The sequence below is a fragment of the Homo sapiens genome, chromosome 19 (assembly GCF_000001405.40).
Source record: "Homo sapiens chromosome 19, GRCh38.p14 Primary Assembly".
Classification (NCBI taxonomy): Eukaryota; Metazoa; Chordata; class Mammalia; order Primates; family Hominidae; genus Homo; species Homo sapiens.
Window position 1 is genome coordinate 50180678 of NC_000019.10, and position 20438 is coordinate 50201115.

Here is a 20438-nt window from a genome sequence, read left to right on the forward strand (position 1 = left end):
AGCCTCAAACTCCTGGGCCCAAGTGATTCTCCCACTTCAGCCTCCTGAGTAGCTGGACTACAGGTGCATGTCACTACACCTGGTTAATTTTAATTTTTTTAAAATAGAGATGAGGGTCTTGCTATGTTGCCCAGGCCGGTCTTGAACTCCTGGCCTCAAGCAATTCTCCTGCGTTGGCCTCCCAAAGTGCTGGGATTACAGGCACGAGCCACCGTGCAATCTATACAATCTGGATTTTACCAAGTCCTAGAGGTGGTTTCAGCTTTGCTCAAGTTTAAGCAGCTCCAGCTTTGCTGCTTAAAATGTGGTCCATGAAGTAGCAGCATCAGCATCACCTGGAGTTTATATTAAAAATACAGAACCTCCACCCCACCCTGGACCTGCTGAATCAGAATTTTAAGATCCCTCACAACATTAACTGCGGGAGGGATGCTGTGTCCTTGATGCATGACATCAAGAGGTCTCTGATGTCAGCAGGTCCCACAACGGGTGATACTAACTTTGATCCCATGCTTAAGATGCTGTCTACCCAGTTTCTCCTCTGTAAAGTTACTCTTTCTCACACAGAGCTCATTTGATGGCTTTTACCAACGCACATTTTTAGAGCATATGAAACTGTGAGAATCCCTGATCTAGAGAGTATTGCTCAATAACCATAGGTGTAATGACCCATGTTTGTAATAACAGCCCTGAGTCAAGGAAAGAGCTGATTAATTACGGCATCTGTGGGAGGTAATTTAGCTTAATGGGTAAGAGTTCAGACTTGGAGGCACCAAATTAGGGACGCAGGTAGCCAAAGCGCAGAGGTTTAAAACTTCTACCTTCACTGTACTTTTGTTTCCTATTCTCAGTATTCAGCTCCTTACTATGTTCTCTCTATCCCCCTGTTGCCTTGTTTTGTTGTATTTTTTTTGAAACAGGGTCTCTCTCTGTCACCCAGGCTGCAGTGCAGTGGCGCGATCTTGGCTCACTGCAACCTCTGCCTCCTGGGTTCAAGTGATTCTCCTGTCTCAGCCTCCCAAATAGTTGGGATTACGGGCATGTGCCACCACACCTGGCTAATTTTTGTAGTTTTGTAGTAGAGATGGGGTTTCACTATGTTGGCCAGGCTGGTCTCGAACTCCTGACCTCAGGTGATCCACCCTCCAGGGTCTTTCTCTGTTGCCCACGCTGCAGTGCAGTGGTGCAATCATAGCTCACTGCAGCCTTGAACTCCTGGGCTCATGCGATCCTCCTGCCTCAGCCTCCAGAGTAGTTGGGACTACAGGCATGTGCTACCATGCCCGGCTAACTTTTTGATTCTCGGTAGAGACAGGAGTAGAGGCTGGCCTCGAACTCCTGACCTCAAATGATCCGCCCGCCTTAGCCACCCAAAGTGCTGGGATTACAGGCATGAGCCATTACGCTCAGCCTTGTTCAGCATTTTTAAAAGCTTCACTGCCTGCCCAGCGTGATGGCTCACACCTGTAATCCCAGCACTTTGGGAGGCCGAGTGGGGCAGATCATGAGGTCAGCGATTTGAGACCAGCCTGACCAACATGGTGAAACCCCGTCTCTACTAAAAATACAAAAACCAGCCAAGTGTGGTGGCAGGCACCTGTAGTCCCAGCTACTTGGGAAGCTGAGGCAGGAGAATCGCTTGAACCCGGGGTGGGGGGGCAGAGGTTGCAGTGAGCTGAGATCGTGCCACTGCACTCTAGCCTGGTGACAGAGCGAGACACCATCTAAAAAATAAAAATAAATAAAAATAAAATAAATAAATAAATAAATAAAAGCTTCACCGCCTGACATTATGTCAAACATTTTATTGTTTACTTGTTCATTGTCTCTTCCATGAGAAGTTGAGATCCAGGAGGACAGACACTCTGGCTTGTCTATGGGGGTATTCTCAGTTCACAGCACAGTGCCCAGCATACGGTAGGTGCTTAAAAAATTGTGTTGAATTTTTAAAAATGTGAGCACTGGAATCAGACTCACATGAGTTCAAATCCCAGCTCTGCCCCTTACTTATCTGTCTCTAAGTCTGTTTCTGTGTTGGTGAAATTGAGATAATGGTGCTGAAAGGGTTAAAGAAATATGATGCATGTGAAGGTTTTGCCATATATGGCTTTTGAAAACCTTTTTATTTTGAAATAATTTCAGACTTAACAAAAAAGTTGCAAAAATAATGCAAAGAATTCTCATACAAAATAATGCAAAGAATTCTCACTCTTCACCCAAGCTTCTCCAAAGGTTGAAACTTTTCATAACCACAGTAAAATATTATGAAATAAACATGGTAACATTTCTGTGGACTAATCTACGAACCCTTTCCCTCCCTCCCTCCCTCCCTCCCTCCCTTCCTTCTTTCCTTCCTTCCTTCCTTCCTTCCTCCTCCTTCCCCTCCTTCCCTCCCTCCTTCCCTTCTTTCTCTCTCTCTTTCTCTTTCTTTCCCTCCCCTCCCTTCCCCTCCCCTCCCCTCCCTTCCCTTCCTTCCTTCCTTCCTTCTTTCCTTCCTTCCATCCTTCCTTCCTTCCTTCCTTCCGACAGAGTCTCACTGTGTTGCCCAGGCTGGAGTGTGGTGGCACAGTCACAGCCACTGCAGGCTTGACCTCCCAGGCTCAAGCAATCCTTGAGCCAAGACCTGGGTCACCTACTGATTTCTTTTTGTTACAGGCGTGTGCCACCATGTCTGGCAATTTTTTTTTTTTAATTTTGTAGAGATAGGGGTCTCTCGGCTGGGCGTGGTGGCTCGTGCCTGTAATCCCAGCACTTTGGGAAGCCGAGGCAGGCAGATCACCTGAGGTCAGGAGTTCGAGACCAGCCTTGCCAACATGGTGAAACCCTGTCTCTACTAAAAATACAAAAATTAGCCGGGCGTGGTGGCACGTGCCTGTAATCCCTGCTACTCCGGAGGCTGAGGCAGGAGAATCGCTTGAACCCAGGAAGCGGAGTTTGCTGTGAGCCAAGATCATGCCACTGCACTCCAGCCTGGGCGACAGAAAAAGACTCCGTCTCAAAAATACAAAAATTAGCCGGGCGTGGTGGTGGGCGCCTGTAATCCCAGCTACTTGGGAGGCTGAGGCAGGAGAATCGCTTGAACCCGGGAGGTGGAGGTTGCGGTGAGCCGAGACTGTGCCACTGCACTCCAGCTTGGGCAACAAGAGCAAAACCTCGTCTCAAAAAAAAAATAATAATAATAAATAAAAATAAAGAGAGAAATGACTGATTCATATAACAACATGGATGAATATCAAAAGCTTTACGTGGAGTGAAAGAAACACAAAAGATCATCTACTATAGGATTCTATTTATAAAAAGCTCTAGAACAGACAAAACTAATCTGTGGTGATAAAAAGCAGAACATTAGTTGCCTGGGGGTGGGTGGAGGTGCGAGTTGGCTGGGGAGAGTGTCAGGTAACTTTCTAGGACATGGAAATGTTCTATTTTTTTCTAGTTGGGTGTATACGTTTGTCAAAACTCATTGAATGGTATACTTAGCAATTGTACATTTAACTGTCTGTAAATTTTACCTAAATAAAAGGAACCCTAAACAAATATTGAAATTGAATTAATGATGTGTGCAATGAAGTGTTTATGGCTGAAGCCTACTGACGTCTGCAGATTATTCTAATGAATGGATAAGCTGCAGTTTCTCAACTCCAGCACTATTGACATTTGAGGCCAGAGAATTATTTGTTGTGGGAGGCTGTCCTGTGCATTGTAGGATGTGGTTGACATCCTGGCCTCTACCCACTAAATGCCAGCAGCACTCCCACACACACAGGTTGACAGTAATAAATGTTTCCAGACATTGCCAATGTCCCTGGGGGGACAAATTTGTCCTTGGTTTAGAATTGCTTAAATAGAGAGAAGGATGAATGGATACATATTTATCCAATGCAGCTAATACAGCATATATATATATATATATACTCATATACATATACTCATATATATATTCATATATATATACTCGTATATATATACAAGTATATATATATGAGTATATATATATATATATGAGTGTGTATATATATATATATATATATATATATATATTTTTTTTTTTTTTTGAGATGGAGTCTCACTCTGTTACCCAGGCAGGAGTGCAGTGACACGATCACAGCTTGTTGCATCCTCAACCTGCTGGACTCAAGCGATCCTCCCGCCTCATTTTTTGATTTTTTATAGAGAGGAGATCTCATTCTGTTGGCCAGGCTGGTCTTGAACTCCTGGCCTCAAGCGATTCTCCTGCTTCGGCCTCCCAAAGTGCTGAGATTACAGGCGTGAGCCATTGTGCCCAGCCTAATGCAGCAGAATATTAACAGCTGTAGAATCTAGCCAGTGGCTACTTGGAGGTTCATTGTACACTTTTTCCCCCCAAATTTTCTGTATCTTTGAAATGTTCCGTAAGTATTAGGGGAAAAATGCATACACCCTAAGATCCAGCAGTACCACTTACTAGTGACTGCCCTAGGGAAAAATAATTGGCCTGCATTCACAAAGAGGCATGTATAAAAAGATCCTTTAAAAAAAATTCCCTTGTCTAAAATAGCAAAACACTGAAACAATGTAAATGCGTATCAACTCATCAACTGTGGAATTTTTTTTTTTTGAGACGGAGTCTTGCTCTGTTGCCCAGGCTGGAGTGCAGTGGCGTGATCTCGGCTCACTGCAAGCTCTGCCTCCCAAGTTCACGCCATTCTCCTGCCTCAGCCTCCTGAGTAGCTGGGACTACAGGTGCCTGCCACCACACCCAGTTAATTTTTTATATTTTTAGTAGAGACGGGGTTTCACCATGTTAGCCAGGATGGTCTTGATCTCCTGACCTCGTGATCTGCCCGCCTAGGCCTCCAAAAGTGCTGGGATTACAGGCGTGAGCCACTGCACCTGGCCCAACTGTGGAATGTTTAAAATGAACTATGGGCCAGGCATGGTGGCCAATGCCTATAATCCCAGCAGTTTGGGAGGTGGAGGCAAGAGGATTGCTTGAGGCCAGGAGCTTGAGACCAGCCTGTGCAAACAGAGAGACTCCATCTCTACAAAAAAAATTTAAAAAATTAGCTGGGTGTGGTGGTGCATGCCTGTAGTCCCAGCTACTCAGGAGGCTGAAGCAGAAGGATCGCTTGAGCCCAGCAGTTCAAGGTTGCAGTGAGCCCTGATTGCACCATTGCCCTCCAGCTTGAGTGACAGAGTGAGATTCTGTCACACACATACACACACAAAAAAAAGAAAGAAAAGAAAAGAAAAGAAAAAAGATCCTTAATTACATCTGCAAAGTTCCTTTTGCCATGTAAAGTAGCATATTCACAGGCTTCAAGGATTAGGATGCAGACATCTTTGGGAAGCCATTATTCATCCTATAACAGTGATTGTACTATTTTACATTCCCACTATCAGTATAAAAGAATTCCAGTTGCTCCACATCCTCACCAACAGTTGGTGTTGTCAATCTTGTTTATTTTAGCCATTCTGGTACATTTCATTATGATAAATAATATACATTAATTTTACACATTTAAAAACATTGGGCTGGGTGCAGTGGCTCACGTCTGTAATTCCAGCACTTTGGGAGGCCAAGGTGGAAGGATCACTTGAGCTCAGGAGTTTGAGACCAGCCTGGGCAACACAGCAAGACACCATCTCTATGTTTAAATAACAACAAAAATAAAAACATTATTCTATATTCATTATTGCCACACCGAAGAATTATACAGGCTAAATATCCTCTGACTAGTGAATGTATAGACAAACTGTGGTATATTTGTACAATAGAGTACTACTCAGCAATGAAAAAGCATACACTACTGATACATGCCACAACATGGGTGAATCTCACATGCATCATGCTAAATGGAAGATGCCAGACTCAGAGGCTATACACTCTGTGATTCTATTTATATAACATCCTGCAAAAGACACACCACAGGGACCAAAAACAGAGCAGTGATTGTCAGGAGCAAGAAAGGAGTTGACTGGGCCGGGTGTGGTGGCTCAAGCCTGTAATCCTAGCACTTTCGGAGGCCGAGGCGGGTGGATCACGAGGTCAGGAGTTTGAGACCATCCTGGCCAACATGGTGAAACCCCGTCTCTACTAAAAATACAAAAAAATTAGCCAGGCGTGGTGGCGGGCACCTGTAGTCCCAGCTACTCGGGAGGCTGAGGCAGGAGAATGGAGTAAACCTGGGAGGCGGAGCTTGCAGTGAGCCCAGATAGCGTCACTGCAAGTCCGGCCTGGGGGACAGAGCCAGGCTCCATCTCAAAAAAAAAAAAAGAAAGGAGTTGACTGCAAAGAGGCACAAGGGAATTTTCAAGGGTGACAGATTTGTTGCGTCTTAATTTTGTTGGTGGTTACACAGGTGTAAGCATTTGTCAAAAAGCATAGAACTGAGGCTGGGCACAGTGACTCAAGCCTGTAATACCACCACTTTGGGAGGCCAAGGTGGGAGGATCTTTTGAGTCCAGGAGTTCGAGACCAGCCTGAGCAATATAGTGAGAACCACCCCCATCTCTATAAAAATTAAAAAAAAAATTATCTGGGTGTGGTGGTGCAAGGCTGTGGTGGTAGTTACTTGGGAGGCTGAGGCAGGAGGATTCTTTGAGCCCAGGAGATTGAGGCTGCAGTGAACTGTGATTGCACCATTGTACTCCAGCCTAGGTGACAGAGTGAGACTCCATCTCAAAAAAAAAAAAAGTTGTACACTAAAAAGGGTGAATTTTACCTCATAGGTATACACATATAAATTATATATGTATCTATATTATGTAAAACTGTGTGCAAATATGGCTGGGTATGGTGGCTCATGCCTATAATCCCAGCACTTTGGGAGGCCGAGGCGGGCAGATCACGGGGTCAGGAGTTCGAGACCAGCCTGGCTAATATGGTGAAATCCTGTCTCTACTAAAAATACAAAAATTAGCCGGGGGTGGTGGTGCGCACTTGTAGTCCCAGCTACTCGGGAGGCTGAGGCAGAAGAATCTCTTGAACCCAGGAGGTGGAGGTTATGGTGAGCCGAGATTGCAGCACTGCACTCCAGCCTGGGCGACAGACTGAGACTCCATCTCAAAAAAAAAAATTGTGCAAATATACACAAAAATTATAAATTTGTACATATATTTAATAAGCCTGACTTTAAAAAGACAATTCTGGAGGAAGGGTCTGTAAGTTTTATCGGATGCCAAGGGACCCACCGCACGTGCACAAAGACTAAGACTCCTGCGGGGGTTGACTGTGCATACCTGTGTCACCTGCCACGATGGGAATGAAGGGAGAGGAAGGAAGGACATTCCAAGGAAAGGACCCTTCCCAGGCTCAGATTCAGGACAGGGGTGGCCCCTGGGCCAGGAGCCCGGAGTGCAGGGAGCTTGCAGAGGAGTGGTAGGGAGGAGGAAGGGGGTGGGTTGAAACCAGATGGGGACTCGGTTTCTACCTTTGTCACCGGGCTATTATCATCTACACCTCTCCATATATTCGTTAATCATACACCTGCTTTATCTGCCCTCCCAGCCTGCATTCCATTCGGGCGGACAGATGTCCCTGAAGGCCCGAGGGACACCAGCCGCTATGCCAGGCTCCAAAGAACCCGAGGCAAACCAACGCTGGTCCCGGTCTTTGAGGACTCCCCGGCCCAGTGAGGGAGACCGACAGGTAAGCAGGCAGTGTCCAAGCCTGGGGAAGAGGCTGTAAGGCAGACACCGCAGGCACTGGCAGGGCTCCCTATGGAACAATCAGGGAAGACATCCTGAAGAAGGGGGCATTGGGGTGAGGCCTTTCCCCCATGTAATGAGGCCAAGCCCAATAATAATAATGATATTAATAATAATGGCCACTGGCCGGGTGCAGCGGCTCACACCTGTAATCCCAGCTCTTTGGTTTTGTCATTTGTTTGTTTTGAGACTGAGTCTTGCTCTATCGCCCAGGCTGGAGGGCAGTGGCACGATCTCGGCTCACTGCAACCCCGGGTTCATGTGATTCTCCTGCCTCAGCCTCCCGAGTAGCTGGGATTACAGGCACCTGCCAGCTCTTTGGGAGGCTGAGGCGGGAGGATTGCCTGAGGAAGGGAGTTCAAGACCAGACTGGCCAACATGGCGGAACCACATCTCTGCCAACAATACAAAAATTAGCTGGGCGCGGTGGCGCGTGCTTGTAGTCACAGCTACTCGGGAGACTGAGGCAGGAGAATCACCTGAACTGGGGAGGCAGAGGATGCAGTGAGGAGAGAGCACACCACTGCACTCCAGCCTGGTTGGCAGAGCGAGACTGTCTCAAAAACAAAAAGTAAATAATAATAATAATAATAGTAGCCACCAGCATTTATCGAGGGCTTGCAATGGGCCAAAATCACTACGCTAAGCACAGGACGTGAACTAATTAATTTAACCCTTCAACAGCTGTAAATCTTTTCCCATCCTGCCTTCCTGCCTTGCCCTCCCTCCCTCCCTCCCTCCCTCCCTCCCTCCCTCCCTTCCTTCCTTCCTTCCTTCCTTCCTTTCTTCCTTCCCTCCTTCGAGACAGGATCTTGCTCCGTTGCCCAGACTGGAATGTGCAGTCGTGCAATCACGGCTCACTGCAGCCTCAACCTCCTGGGCTCAAGTGATCTGCCCACTTCAACCTCCCAAAGTGCTGGGGTTACAGGCGTGAGCCACTGCACCTGGCCAGCAGATACTTTTATCACTATCCCCCTTCTTACAGATCCAGGAACATTGAGGCACACACTTGTTTCCTTCCCTCAAAATGTTCCTGCTGTGGCTAGGGAGATGGTCATGGACACAGTGTCAGTCTGGTGAAGCTGTGCTTTGACGGTAGCAGCAGAAGGCATTGAAAGGAAGTGAGAGGAGAGAGGGACTGATTCTGGCTGGGGAAGGAACGGAGGGTTGGGGATGCCGCTTGCAGAAGGCTTCTGAGAAGCGATTGCCCTCCAGGACAGATCCTTTTATAGGGCGTGGACTTTGGTGCATAGAATTCCGTCATATTTTCCGTTCCTGTTTCTCTATCATTTGTCCATATCCCGATTTTGCTTTCTTTCTTATTTTTCTCTTTAATGCTCCAGCCTCACTCCTGTTACCTCCTCTGGTGCCCCATAAACAAACCCTAACACCTTTAACATTCACGCAATCTTGGGTATGTAGAAATGCTTACAGACCAGACAGCATTGCTTCGTGTAATTATATCTTCTAAATTGACACAAAGGATAAATGCTATCTTTTAAATTGTGCTATAGACTGTTTTATTTCCTACTGTTTCAATTCAACATTAATTTTTTTTTGTTACGTTGTTTTTTGTTTTTTAAAACAGAGCTGGTGCCTTAGCCTCCCAAGTAGCTGGGATCACAGGTGCGCACCACCACGCCCAGTTAATTCTTATATTTTTAGTGGAGACGGGGTTTCGCCATGTTGCCCAGGGTGGTCTCAAACTCTCGGCCTCAAGCGATCTGCCCACCTCAGCTTCCCAAAGTGCTGGGATTACAGGCCTGAGCCACCATGCCCGGCCCAGTATTATGTTTTTATGATCTCTCCACGTTACCAAGTGAAACTGATTTATTGCTTCCAGGACAACATGGAGGAATCCACTCCCTTTTGCTTACCAGCTCCCCACGAAACAGACCTCATGGTGTTCTCTACCTCCCTATTCCCACCCGTAATGCTGCCCTGGTCATCCTGGGGTATGTCCTTGTATGTTACCTGTGCATGCTTCTCTATGGTACCTACTTGGAAGTGGGATCGCTGGATCCCGGGAGAAATGCACAGTGAATGTCACAAAATTCTGCCCCATTATCTAAGGTGGGTCTTGAAGCTCTAGCAGCATGTCACCAGGCAGAGAAGGGCGGAGAAGGGACCAACCAGTTCAAAGGACTGAGAGTCCACAGCATGTCCAGGGTTCAGTGAATTATAGGTGACCCACCCGAGGGGTGGAACCTTTCAGGGAACAGCCGTGTAATAAACACTTGACTGCACTGGTTTCTTTTTCATTTTTTTTTTTTCCTAAAAAGGAAAATAGTCTTGTTGTGGGTGGCAGCTTGGCAACGTCTATGAAAATCTTAACTGCATATACTCTTTGACCTAGCAATATCACTACTCATGCATGAGGAAGTAGGAAGAAGGAGGCTCAGTGTGTTGCGGTCTGTAAAGGTGGAACAAGGAAAACCACCAGCAGCCCCACCAATCGGCGAGGAGTCAAAGGAACCATAGATAGGCTGCGGCTATTGGATACTGTGTGGTGTAGACAAGATAAAGGTGAATTAAAACATAGGAGCACAGGCTGCGCGCGGTGGCTCACGTCTGTAATCCCAACACTTTGGGAGGCTGAGGCGGGTGGATCATGAGGTCAAGAGATCGATACCATCCTGGCCAATATGGTGAAACCCTGTCTCTACTAAAAATACAAAAATTAGCCGGGTGTGGTGGTGGGCGCCTATAATCCTAGCTACTGGGGAGGCTGAGGCAGGAGAATCGCGTGAACCGAGGAGGTGGAGGTTGCAGTGAGCTGAGATCGCGCCACTGCACTCCAGCCTGGGCAACAGAGTGCAGCTCCGTCTCAAAAAGGAAAAAAAAAAAAAAGGCGAGCCAGATTTCCCTATATCAAGTATCATCCTATATCCCTGAACTCAAGAGATCATAATATTTCTCAGTTCTGAATCTATATATGTAAACCAGGAGTTGGCAAGCTTTTTCTGTAAGGGCTCAGATTGTAAATATTTTCAGCTTTGAACATATGGTCTCTGTCACAATTGCTTAACTGCGTCCTTATAGCATGAAAGCAGCCACAGCCACAGACAATACTAAACCAACAAGCATGGCTGTGTTCCAATAAAAGTTTATTTATAAACCCAGGCAGTAGGCCAGTGTGGCCTGTGGGCTGTCATTTGCTGACCCCAATGTAAATAAATAGTAAATGTTAGATCCGGCTCAGTGGCTCATGCCACTGAGCACTTTGGGGAGCCAAGGCAGGACGATCACTTGAACCCAGGAGTTCAAGACCAGCCTGGGCAACATAGTGACACCTCATCTCTACAAAACAATAAAAAAATTAGCCAGACGTGGTGGTGAGTGCCTGTGGTCTCAGCTACTCTAGAGGCTGAGATGGGCAGACAGCTTAAGCCTGGGGTGGCAAGTTTAGGCTGCAGTGAACTGTGATTGCACCACTGCACTCCAGGCTGAGCGACACAGTGAGACCCTGTCTCAAAAAAAAATATTTGTGGAAGAAATTACAACAAAATACCAGGGGTACATCTGGAAGGCAGAGTGAAAAGGAAGGGCCTGGTCAAGGGAAATATTACCCTCGTGTTTACATTTTTTCTACTTTGTGTAATTAAAATTGCTTTAAATTAAAAAGAAAAAAGTGTTTTAAAAATAGCTTTGGTGACCTTCTTCTTTCTGATCAGCATCTTAGAAATGCCAGCAGCAGCAGGGCCTAGTGGGTCACACCTATAATCTCAGCACTTTGGGAGGCCAAGAAGGGAGGATCAGTGGAGGCCAGGAGTTTGAGACCAGCCCGGGCAACGTAACGAGACCCTGTCTCTATTTATTTTATTATTACTATTTTTTATTTTTTGAGACAGAGTCTTGCTCTGTCACCCAGGCTGGAGTGCAGTGGCACGATCTTGATTCATTGCAACCTCCACCTCCCAGGTTCAAGCGATTCTCCTGCCTCAGCCTCCCAAGTAGCTGGGATTACAGGCGCCTGCCAACACACCCAGCTAATTTTTGTATTTTTATTAGAGACAGGGGTTTCACCATGTTGACCAGGCTGGTCTTGAACTCCTGACTTCAGGTGATCTGCCAGCCTTGGCCTCCCAAAGTGCTGGGATTACAGGTGTGAGCCGCAGCGCTTGGGCCCCATCTCTATTTGAAAGAAAGAAAGAAAGACAATGCCGGCAGTACATGAAAGCAATGAGGAAGCAAAGTTCTCTAGCACCCTACCAGCTAGAGGAGAATTTCTCAGAGAGTTTCTTTTATTCACTTAGCAGGTATTTACCCGGCACTTACCATGTGCAAGGAACTGTCCTAGGTGCTAGGGATAGAACAGTAAATGAAACCGAGTCCCTCCCCTCTATAGGGTGGATATTCTGCAGTCAGAGAGACAGGCAACAAATAACAAACACAACAAATAAATAAATGGTATAGCAGGTGAGAAGGTCAGAAGTGCTATGGAAAGGCAGAAACAAGGGGCAAGTAAAGGGGATGGAGGTGCCTGGTGCCAGGTGAGGCATTAAACAGAGTGACCAGAGAAGGCTTCATTGCGAAGGTGACATTTAAACAATGGCCTGAATGAATGAGGCGAGAGCTAGGGGGATGTCTGGGAGGAAGAGTGTTCCAGGCAGAGGCAGCAGCCGTGCAAAGGCCCTGAGGTGGGAACGTGTCGGTTGCATTTGAGGAACAGCAAGGGAGCAAGTTGGCTGTAGTGGCATGAGCCAGGGGGAGAGGGTGAGAGGTGAAGAGAAATGAAGGACAAAGCAGGTCACAGCCTGCACAGCCCCGTGGTCCATGGTGAGGACTTTGGTTTTACTCTGGGCCACGGTGAGGTGGGGGCGGTGTCTGAGCAGAGGAGGGACAGGAGCTAACTTGAGGTCTAAGAGGGTCCTCTGACTGCCCTGTGGGAGCAGACGCAGTGGGAAGTGGGGAGACCAGAGAGGAGGCACCTGCAGTGGTCCAGAAAGGAGATGATGGTGGATTTGACCAGAGTGAGGCAGTGGGGGTGGCAAGAAGGGGTCGGATTCTGGAGCTAGAGCTAGAGATTATATAGATATAGATTTTTTTTTGAGATGAGGTCTCACTCTGTCACCCAGGCTGGAGTGCAGTGGCGCGATCTCAGCTCACTGCAACCTCTGCCTCCTAGATTCAAGTGATCCTCTCGCCTCAGCCTCCCAAGTAGCTGAAACTACAGGCATACAGGCATGCGCTACCATACCCAGCTAGCTTTTTTTTTTTTTTTTTTTGAGATGGAGTTTTGCTCTTGTCACGCAGGCTGGAGTGTAATGGCACAATCTCAGCTCACTGCAACCTCTGTTTCCCAGGTTCAAGCGATTCTCCTGCCTCAGCCTCCTGAGTAGCTGGGATTACAGGCATCCACTACCACGCCTAGCTAATTTTCGTGTTTTTAGTAGAGACAGGGTTTCACCGTGTTGGCCAGGATGGTCTCAATCTCCTGACCTTGTGATCCACCCGCCTCAGCCTCCCAAAGTGCTGGGATTACAGGCGTGAGCCACCATTCCCGACCTTTTTTTTTTTTTTTTGAGTTGGAGTTTTCGCTCTTGTCGCCCAGGCTGGAGTGCAACGGCATGATCTCAGCTCACTGCAACTTCCACCTCCTGGGTTCAAACGATGCTCCTGCCTCAGTCTCTGAGTAGCTGGGATTACAGGCGTCTGCCACCACGCCCAGCTAATTTTTGTATTTTCAGTAGAGATGGGGTTTCACCAAGTTGGCCAGGCTGGTCTTGAACTCCTGGGTTCAAGGGATCTGCCTGCCTCAGCCTCCCAAAATGCTGGGATTACATGGCATGAGCCGCCACATCCGATCAGATTCTGGATATATTTTGAAGGTCACATTGACATTTGCTGATAAACTGGATGTAGAGGTAAGAAGGAAAGAGGAATCAAGGATGGCGCTAAGTGTTTTGGCTCAAGTACGATCAAGAGCCATCTGCCACAGATCACCTGGGGACTCGTAAAAATGCAAGTCCCTGTCCCCGCCTGGATCTACTCAGCTGGCAACTCTGGGTGGGACCCAGGAAACTGCTTTCTGAGTAAGCTGCCCAGGAAAAGACTAGAAACCCAGAGGCAACCATGATCCTCTTGGGGTGGGGGGGGGTGGTCGTCTCAGGGTAGAACATTAGAGTGGTTGCAAGACTCCCCAGGTTCAAATCCTGGCCCTGCCATTCCACCTATGTGAGCTGGAATGATACCTTAAATTCTCCCAGCCACAGTTTCTTCATCTGTAACAAGACTATCGATGGTGCCTGCCTCACAGGGCTGACTTAGGGCCTGAATGAGTTCATGTGTATAAAATATATAAAATGGTGCCACCACATACAACTTCCCAATAAGGGCAGCTAGAATTAGCATCCAGTTCCAAAGATGATGAATTCTTCTTTTTTTTTTTTTTTTTGGACAGTCTTGCTCTGTTGAGGTTGGAGTGCAGTGGCGCAATCTCAACTCACTGCAACTTCTGCCTCCCAGGTTCAAGCAATTCTCCTGCCTCAGCCTCTCAAGTAGCTGGGATTACAGGAGCCTGCTACCATGCCTGGCTAAAAGATGATGAATTCTAATAATAAAATCCACACCAAAATATTATCAGGTGTCAGAGGTACATTTTGTTGGTTAAGTGAAACAGAGGATATTGGTCAAGGGAAACATTTCTCTATCCCTTGATTTTTTCCATCTTGTGTAATTAATTAAAATTGTTTTAATTCAAAAATAAAATAATGTTTTAAAAATAGCTGTAGTGGGCCAGTCTTGGTGGCTCACACCTGTAATGAGCACTTTGGTTGGCAAAGGCAGGAAGATCACTTGAGCTCAGGAGTTCAAGACCAGCCTGAGCAACATAGGGATACCCCCATCTCTACAAAAAAATCTCAAAAAAAATTAGCTGGGCATGGTAGCACATGCCTGTGGTTCCAGATACTCGGGAGGTTAGATGATTCAATATGTATATATAAGTAAGCCCAAGCATCATAAAAGTATTATCTATTATTATTTGGCCAAACATGAGGAGTCAGACGTTTTCTCAAAGGGGGAACTTTTAGTTGGGTTTTGAAGTATGAGTAGGAGCTCACCGGGTGACAAAAAGTCATACTTCCTTTCATTATCTTAGTCAAGACACTCCCTTGAGGCATGCTGTGTTCCAGATCTTGTGCTGGGAGATCCCAGGGACCTAACATGAGTCTGACTCTGACCTACGCGGAGCTACTAGTCCCAGGGATGGATCAGACCTAAGCCCTGTCCTCTAGTGCCTCCAAGCTGGTAGGAGAGGCAGAGAGGGATACAATTCAGGGTGACCAGGGCAAGCAGAGAGAGGAACAGAGTGAGTCATGGACTCCGAGCAGGTCAGCACTGAGCAAAAGCTTTGAAATGGCTAGTCTGACCCCCCTCTCCCATTTACTAAAGCCTGGAGAGGGACAGGGTTTGCTCAAGATTACACAGAATGAATAAATATCCTGATCTTGGAGTCTGGGGATTTCAAGGACCAAACGAGATGCCAGAGATGCAGACCTGCCCCCTCGCAGACCCTTCACCCAGATGCCCAACACACCCCAAATCCCCACTCAAATCTGCAGACTAACCCCTGGCCCCGCAGACAATGATGCTGTCAGAGATATCTGCCTCCCCAGCCCTCAGGCTCAGAGACCCACTTCATCCCTCACCCACATGCACAGCACACATCCCTGCAAGCCCTTATCATCCTATGTGCCCTGTGCTGGGTCAGGCTGGACACAGACGTGACTCAGATGCAGGTTGAGCCCTGGAAGGGCTGCTAGTGTGGAAAGGTACCAGGAGACAGAGCATCCCAACCCAGTGTGAAGAGTGTGTGGAAGCCGTGGCAGGGCATGGGATGGGAGGAGGGTGAGATGAGATGAGGGAACCCTTAACACGCTTTGAACCTTGGGAAGTTCACCTGGAGTTTCCTGGCATGGGGAGATGGAAAGAGGGAGTAACAGGCAGAAAGCACAGCATATGTGAAGCCACAAAAGCATGAAACACTATTTATTCCTTCATCCATCCATCCATTTATCCATTATCCATCATCCATCCATCCATCCATCCATCCATCCATCCATCCATCCATCCATTTATCCATCCATCTATCCATTTATCCATCCATCTGTCCATTTATCCATTCAACCGTCCATTTATCCATCCATCCACCCATCCATTTATCCACCCATCTATCCATCCATCCATTTATCCATCCATCCATCCATCCATCCATCCATCCATCCATCCATCCATCCACCCATCCATTTATCCATCCATCCATCTGCCCATCTGTCTGTCCCTCTGTCCATCTGTATGTTTATCTGTTCATGTACTTATGCATTAATCGATTCTTCCATCCATCTTATTTATTTATTCATTGTGTATATCATTCATTCATTCATTCATGTATCCATCTATTCAAATGATCATCTGCCCCCTCATTCATCCATTTATTTATCCACTCATTGGTCACACATGCATCCGTTCATATAGTTATCAGCATCAGCTGTCATATGATCCTTCCCCAGCAACACCTCCTCAGAGAGCCTTTCCGAACCCTTTCTAAAATAATACCCAGCCACCTTGCCTCTATTACCCTCCTTTTTATTTTCATCACAGCCCTGAACGAGACTTGCCATTTTGCCCTGTAATTGTATGTTTACTTGTTCGGTGTCTGTGGCTACCATGAGAACATGATCATTTATTCAATGAGTGTTTCTCTCTTTTTAAAATTTAACTTTTAGGGGTACCTGTGCAGGTTTGTTATTAGGTAAATTGTGTGTCACAGGGGTTTGGTGTATGGATTATTTCATCACCCCAGTAATAAGCATGGTAGCCCAGACAAATATTTCTTGAGCATCACTGTGTGCCAGGCTCTGTTGTAGACACTGGGGATAACAGAGACAAAATCCCCTTCTGCATGAAGCTGACATTCTAGTGGTGATGTCAGACAATAAACATAAACATAAATAAACATAAAGGTAGTAAATAAATTATAAGGCATGTTGGAAGGAGGGTGCTGCGGCAAAAGAAAGCATAGAGCCAAATGAGGGTGTCAGGGGTCCAGGGGGATGGGTGCTCAAGGAAGACCTCACCAAGGAGGTGATAGCTGAACAAACGCTGTGGGGGAGAGAAGGAGCCCAAGCGGTTATCCAGGGGAAGAGCATTGCAGTTAGAGAATGGCACATGCAAAGGCCCTGAGGCAGGACTGAGCCTGGTGTGTTTTGGGGACATTAAGAAAGCCATTGTGGCTGGAATGGAATGAGGAAGGAGGAGAGAGCAAGAGGTGGGGGCAGAGAGGGCAGAGAGGGGACAGAGGGGACCAGATGGAGCAGGGCCATGTGGGGGAAGACTCTGTTTTCACTCTGAGTATGACCAGAGCCAGAGGAGGATTCTGAGCCAGGAAGAAACAGGATCCAACTGCCTGCAGGATGTGGTTCCCTCTGCCTGCCATATAGGGAGTAGATTAATACCTGAGTTTTGTGAGAGCCAGGATCATGTCTTTGCACCTGTCGCCTCCTCTGTGTCTGGGTGAAGTCTGGGTGGGGCACAGTGGCTCACATCTGTAATCCCAACGGTTTTGGAGGCCAAAGTGGGAGGGTCGCTTAGGCCCAGAAGTTCCAGACCAGCCTGGACAACACAGCGAGACCCTGTCTCTACAAAATCTTAAAAAAAAAAATTAGCCAGGGCCAGGCACGGTGACTCACGCCTGTAATCCCAGCACTTTGGGAGGCCGGGTTGGGTGGATCACGGGGTCAGGAGTTCAAGACCAGCCTGGCCAACATGGTGAAACCCCTTCTCTACTAAAAATACAAAAAAAAAAAAAAAAAGCTGGGCGTGGTGGAGCGCATCTGTAATCCCAGCTACTCGGAGGGCTGAGGCAGGAGAATCGCTTGTACCGGGAGGCAGAGGTTGCAGTGAGCCAAGATCACACCACTGCACTCCAGCCTGGGGGACAGAGCAACACTCTGTCTCAAAAAAAAAAAAAAAAAAAAATTAGCTGGGCATGGTGGCAAGTGCCTGTAGTCCCAGCTACTCAGGAGGCTTAGTTGGAAGGATCGCTCGAGCCCAGGAGGTTGAGGCCGCAGTGAGCCATGATTGTGCCACTGCACTCTGGCCTGGGTGACAGAGTGAGACCCCATCTCAAAACAAACAAACAAAAACAACAACAACAACAAAAACAAACGAAATAACAATAAACAGGAGTCTGCAAACTACAGACTATAGCCCACTGGCCAAATTCCTCCTGTCTGCATAAATAAAGTTTTATTGGAACACTACCTCACCTATTCATTTGCATATTGTCTCTGGCTGCTTTTATACTGCAAGGACAGTGTGGCACAATTGGAGCCAAGGCTTCTGTCCCGCAAAGCTGAAACTATCTACTGTCTGGCCTTTTACATGAAGAAGTTTGCTGACCCCTGGTCTAGAACAATTCTTGGCACACAGTAGGCACTCAAAAAATAATTGTTGCAGAACTGAACCTGTCACTCATCTGTGACCCACACGGGGTTGCTAGCTTGCTCTTGTCTCAGAGCCAGTTCCAGCTCCGAGTCACATGCAGGAAAACAACAGCCCAGCGACCAAAAATAAAATACTGGAACCATTCCAGTCTTTGCTGCAGAGAAAATGCCCAGGCAGGATTGCAGTCAGGACCCATGGCAAAACTTAGCACCCTCTTCCTCCTTTTGCTCTAGTAAGACTCAGGCCCCTTTCCCTCCATCAGGCATGGAAACTGCTCCCTAATTTTTTTTGCTCAAAATTTCCCCCCAAACTCTCTTCCACAAAGCTGCCCTGTCCTTGGTTCTCCCGTCTCTTCCCCTTTCAGCTCCAACTTTTTATCTTCTTTTTCTTTTTTTCTCACCCTGTCTTTTGGTGCTGACAGCTTTTTGTTTTCATCAGCTTAGTTCCTTGCTGGCTTTCCCCACACCTGTGCTGCTCCTTACTCAGATTCTGCATAACGAGGTCACGTCTGGGGGCTGTGCCAGCTGGTGGGAATCCAGCTTCCCTGGAGGCTCAGAATGCCCCCATATTCCCCTTTCCTTTTCCCCGGCACACACCCGTCGTGGTATTCCATCCCCCTTCACTGTCTGGGTTCCCTCTCTGCTGCAGCTGATACCCACAGGACCCACAGAGGGGTCAGCCCTGGACAGCCAAGGACTCACAATTTAATGTGAATGATCCCAGTGCCTGGAGTTCAGAGAGGGATGGCTGACGGGGTGGCCTTGATCCCTGAGATAATGAGTTTGGGGCTTTATCCTGAGGACCTTCTCTGGCAGGCCTGGATGGAGGACAGATGGAGAACTTAGAGGCAGTGGAGTGCCTCCTTTGGACTTGATTTTCTGGGTCTCAGCCTCCCTCTGCTGGCTTTGTGCAGCCCAAGCTCTACAGCCAGACTACATTGATTCGAATTCAGGCTCTGCCACCTTTAAACTGTGCAGACTACATTGATTTGAATGCAGGCTCTGCCACCTTTAAACTGTGCAACCTTGGTCAGCTGTGCCTCAGTGTCCTCATCTGTAAAATGGGTTTGACATTAGAACTTACCACTTAGCGTTATCAGGAGGATTATAGGATTTAGCACACAGAAGGGGCTTAGAACTGTGCCTGGAACACAGTAAGCACTCAATAAATACCAGCAACTTTCAAAATGCTGATACAGCCGTCCACCACATAGAATGCCCTCCGCAAAAGAAAGCTCATTACTATCACTCAGTGATGTCATCAATTACCTCATAGACTGAGCAGAATTGATGACATCTCCAATTATGAGGTCAATTTAGAACCTGGTGGGCATGATGATATCACAAGTTGCCAGGTAAATCTACCTGGGTAATCCCAGGCTAAATCTAGCCCTGGGTAGTGTTGATGACATCACCAGTTACCAGGCAGATTATAGTTAAAATGTGGGTGCCCAGTGCCTTCTTTCCTGTTTGAAATTCTGTTGTGTCCCAGTCCATACTCTTTCCTAGCACCGTTGGGAACAGGACTTTCATGTCTCTGGACCTCAATTTTTCTTTCTTTCTCTTTCTTTCTTTCTTTCTTCTCTCTCTTTTTTTTTTTTTTTTTTTTGAGTTTTTTGTGATAGAGTCTCAGTCTGTCACCCAGGCTGGAGTGCAATGGCACAATCTTGGCTCACTGCAAACTCCACCTCCCGAGCTCAAGCAATTCTCCTGCCTCAGCCTCCCAAGTAGCTGGGACTACAGGCGCCCACTGTCATGCCTGGCTTATTTTTGTATTTTTAGTAGAGATAGGGTTTCACCATGTTGGGTAGGCTGGTCTCAAACTCCTGGCCTCAGGTGATCCTCCCACCTCAGCCCCAAAAATTGCTGGGATTACAGGGGTGAGCCACTGTGCCTGGCGTGGACCTCAGTTTTCTATCCATCAAATGGGGATAATAAAAGCACCAGCCTCGTAGGGTTGTGGAGAGAATCCAATGAGTTAATACATAAAAGGGCAAAATGTCCAGCACACAGTCAGCACTCCATACACAGCAGCACTCATTATCTTTACTGTAGGATGTTTCCATGGAGCACGCTCCAGCCAGAGTGACAGGAGCCCTCAGCTCTGTCTTGGTTAAGACAGATGCCTGCAGGGGCCTGTTTCCTAGGAGTTGGAGCCCAGATCCGCCATTAGCAGTAGTCAGGAGACCCTGGACATGTTGCTAGCCTATAAAGTGGGGTAATGACCATGCCAGCCTCACGGGGCTGGCATGAGGATGCACTGACATAATGACAGTCATGTTTCCAGCACACAATCAGACC

At 47.2% G+C, this 20438-nt stretch overlaps 1 long non-coding RNA gene across 1 annotated transcript in view; it reads right to left on the bottom strand.

The window, feature by feature from the left end:
* LOC124904746 (uncharacterized) overlaps positions 1 to 20438 on the bottom strand; it is a 35889-nt gene that overhangs the window by 12590 nt on the left and 2861 nt on the right. The window lies entirely within an intron of this gene.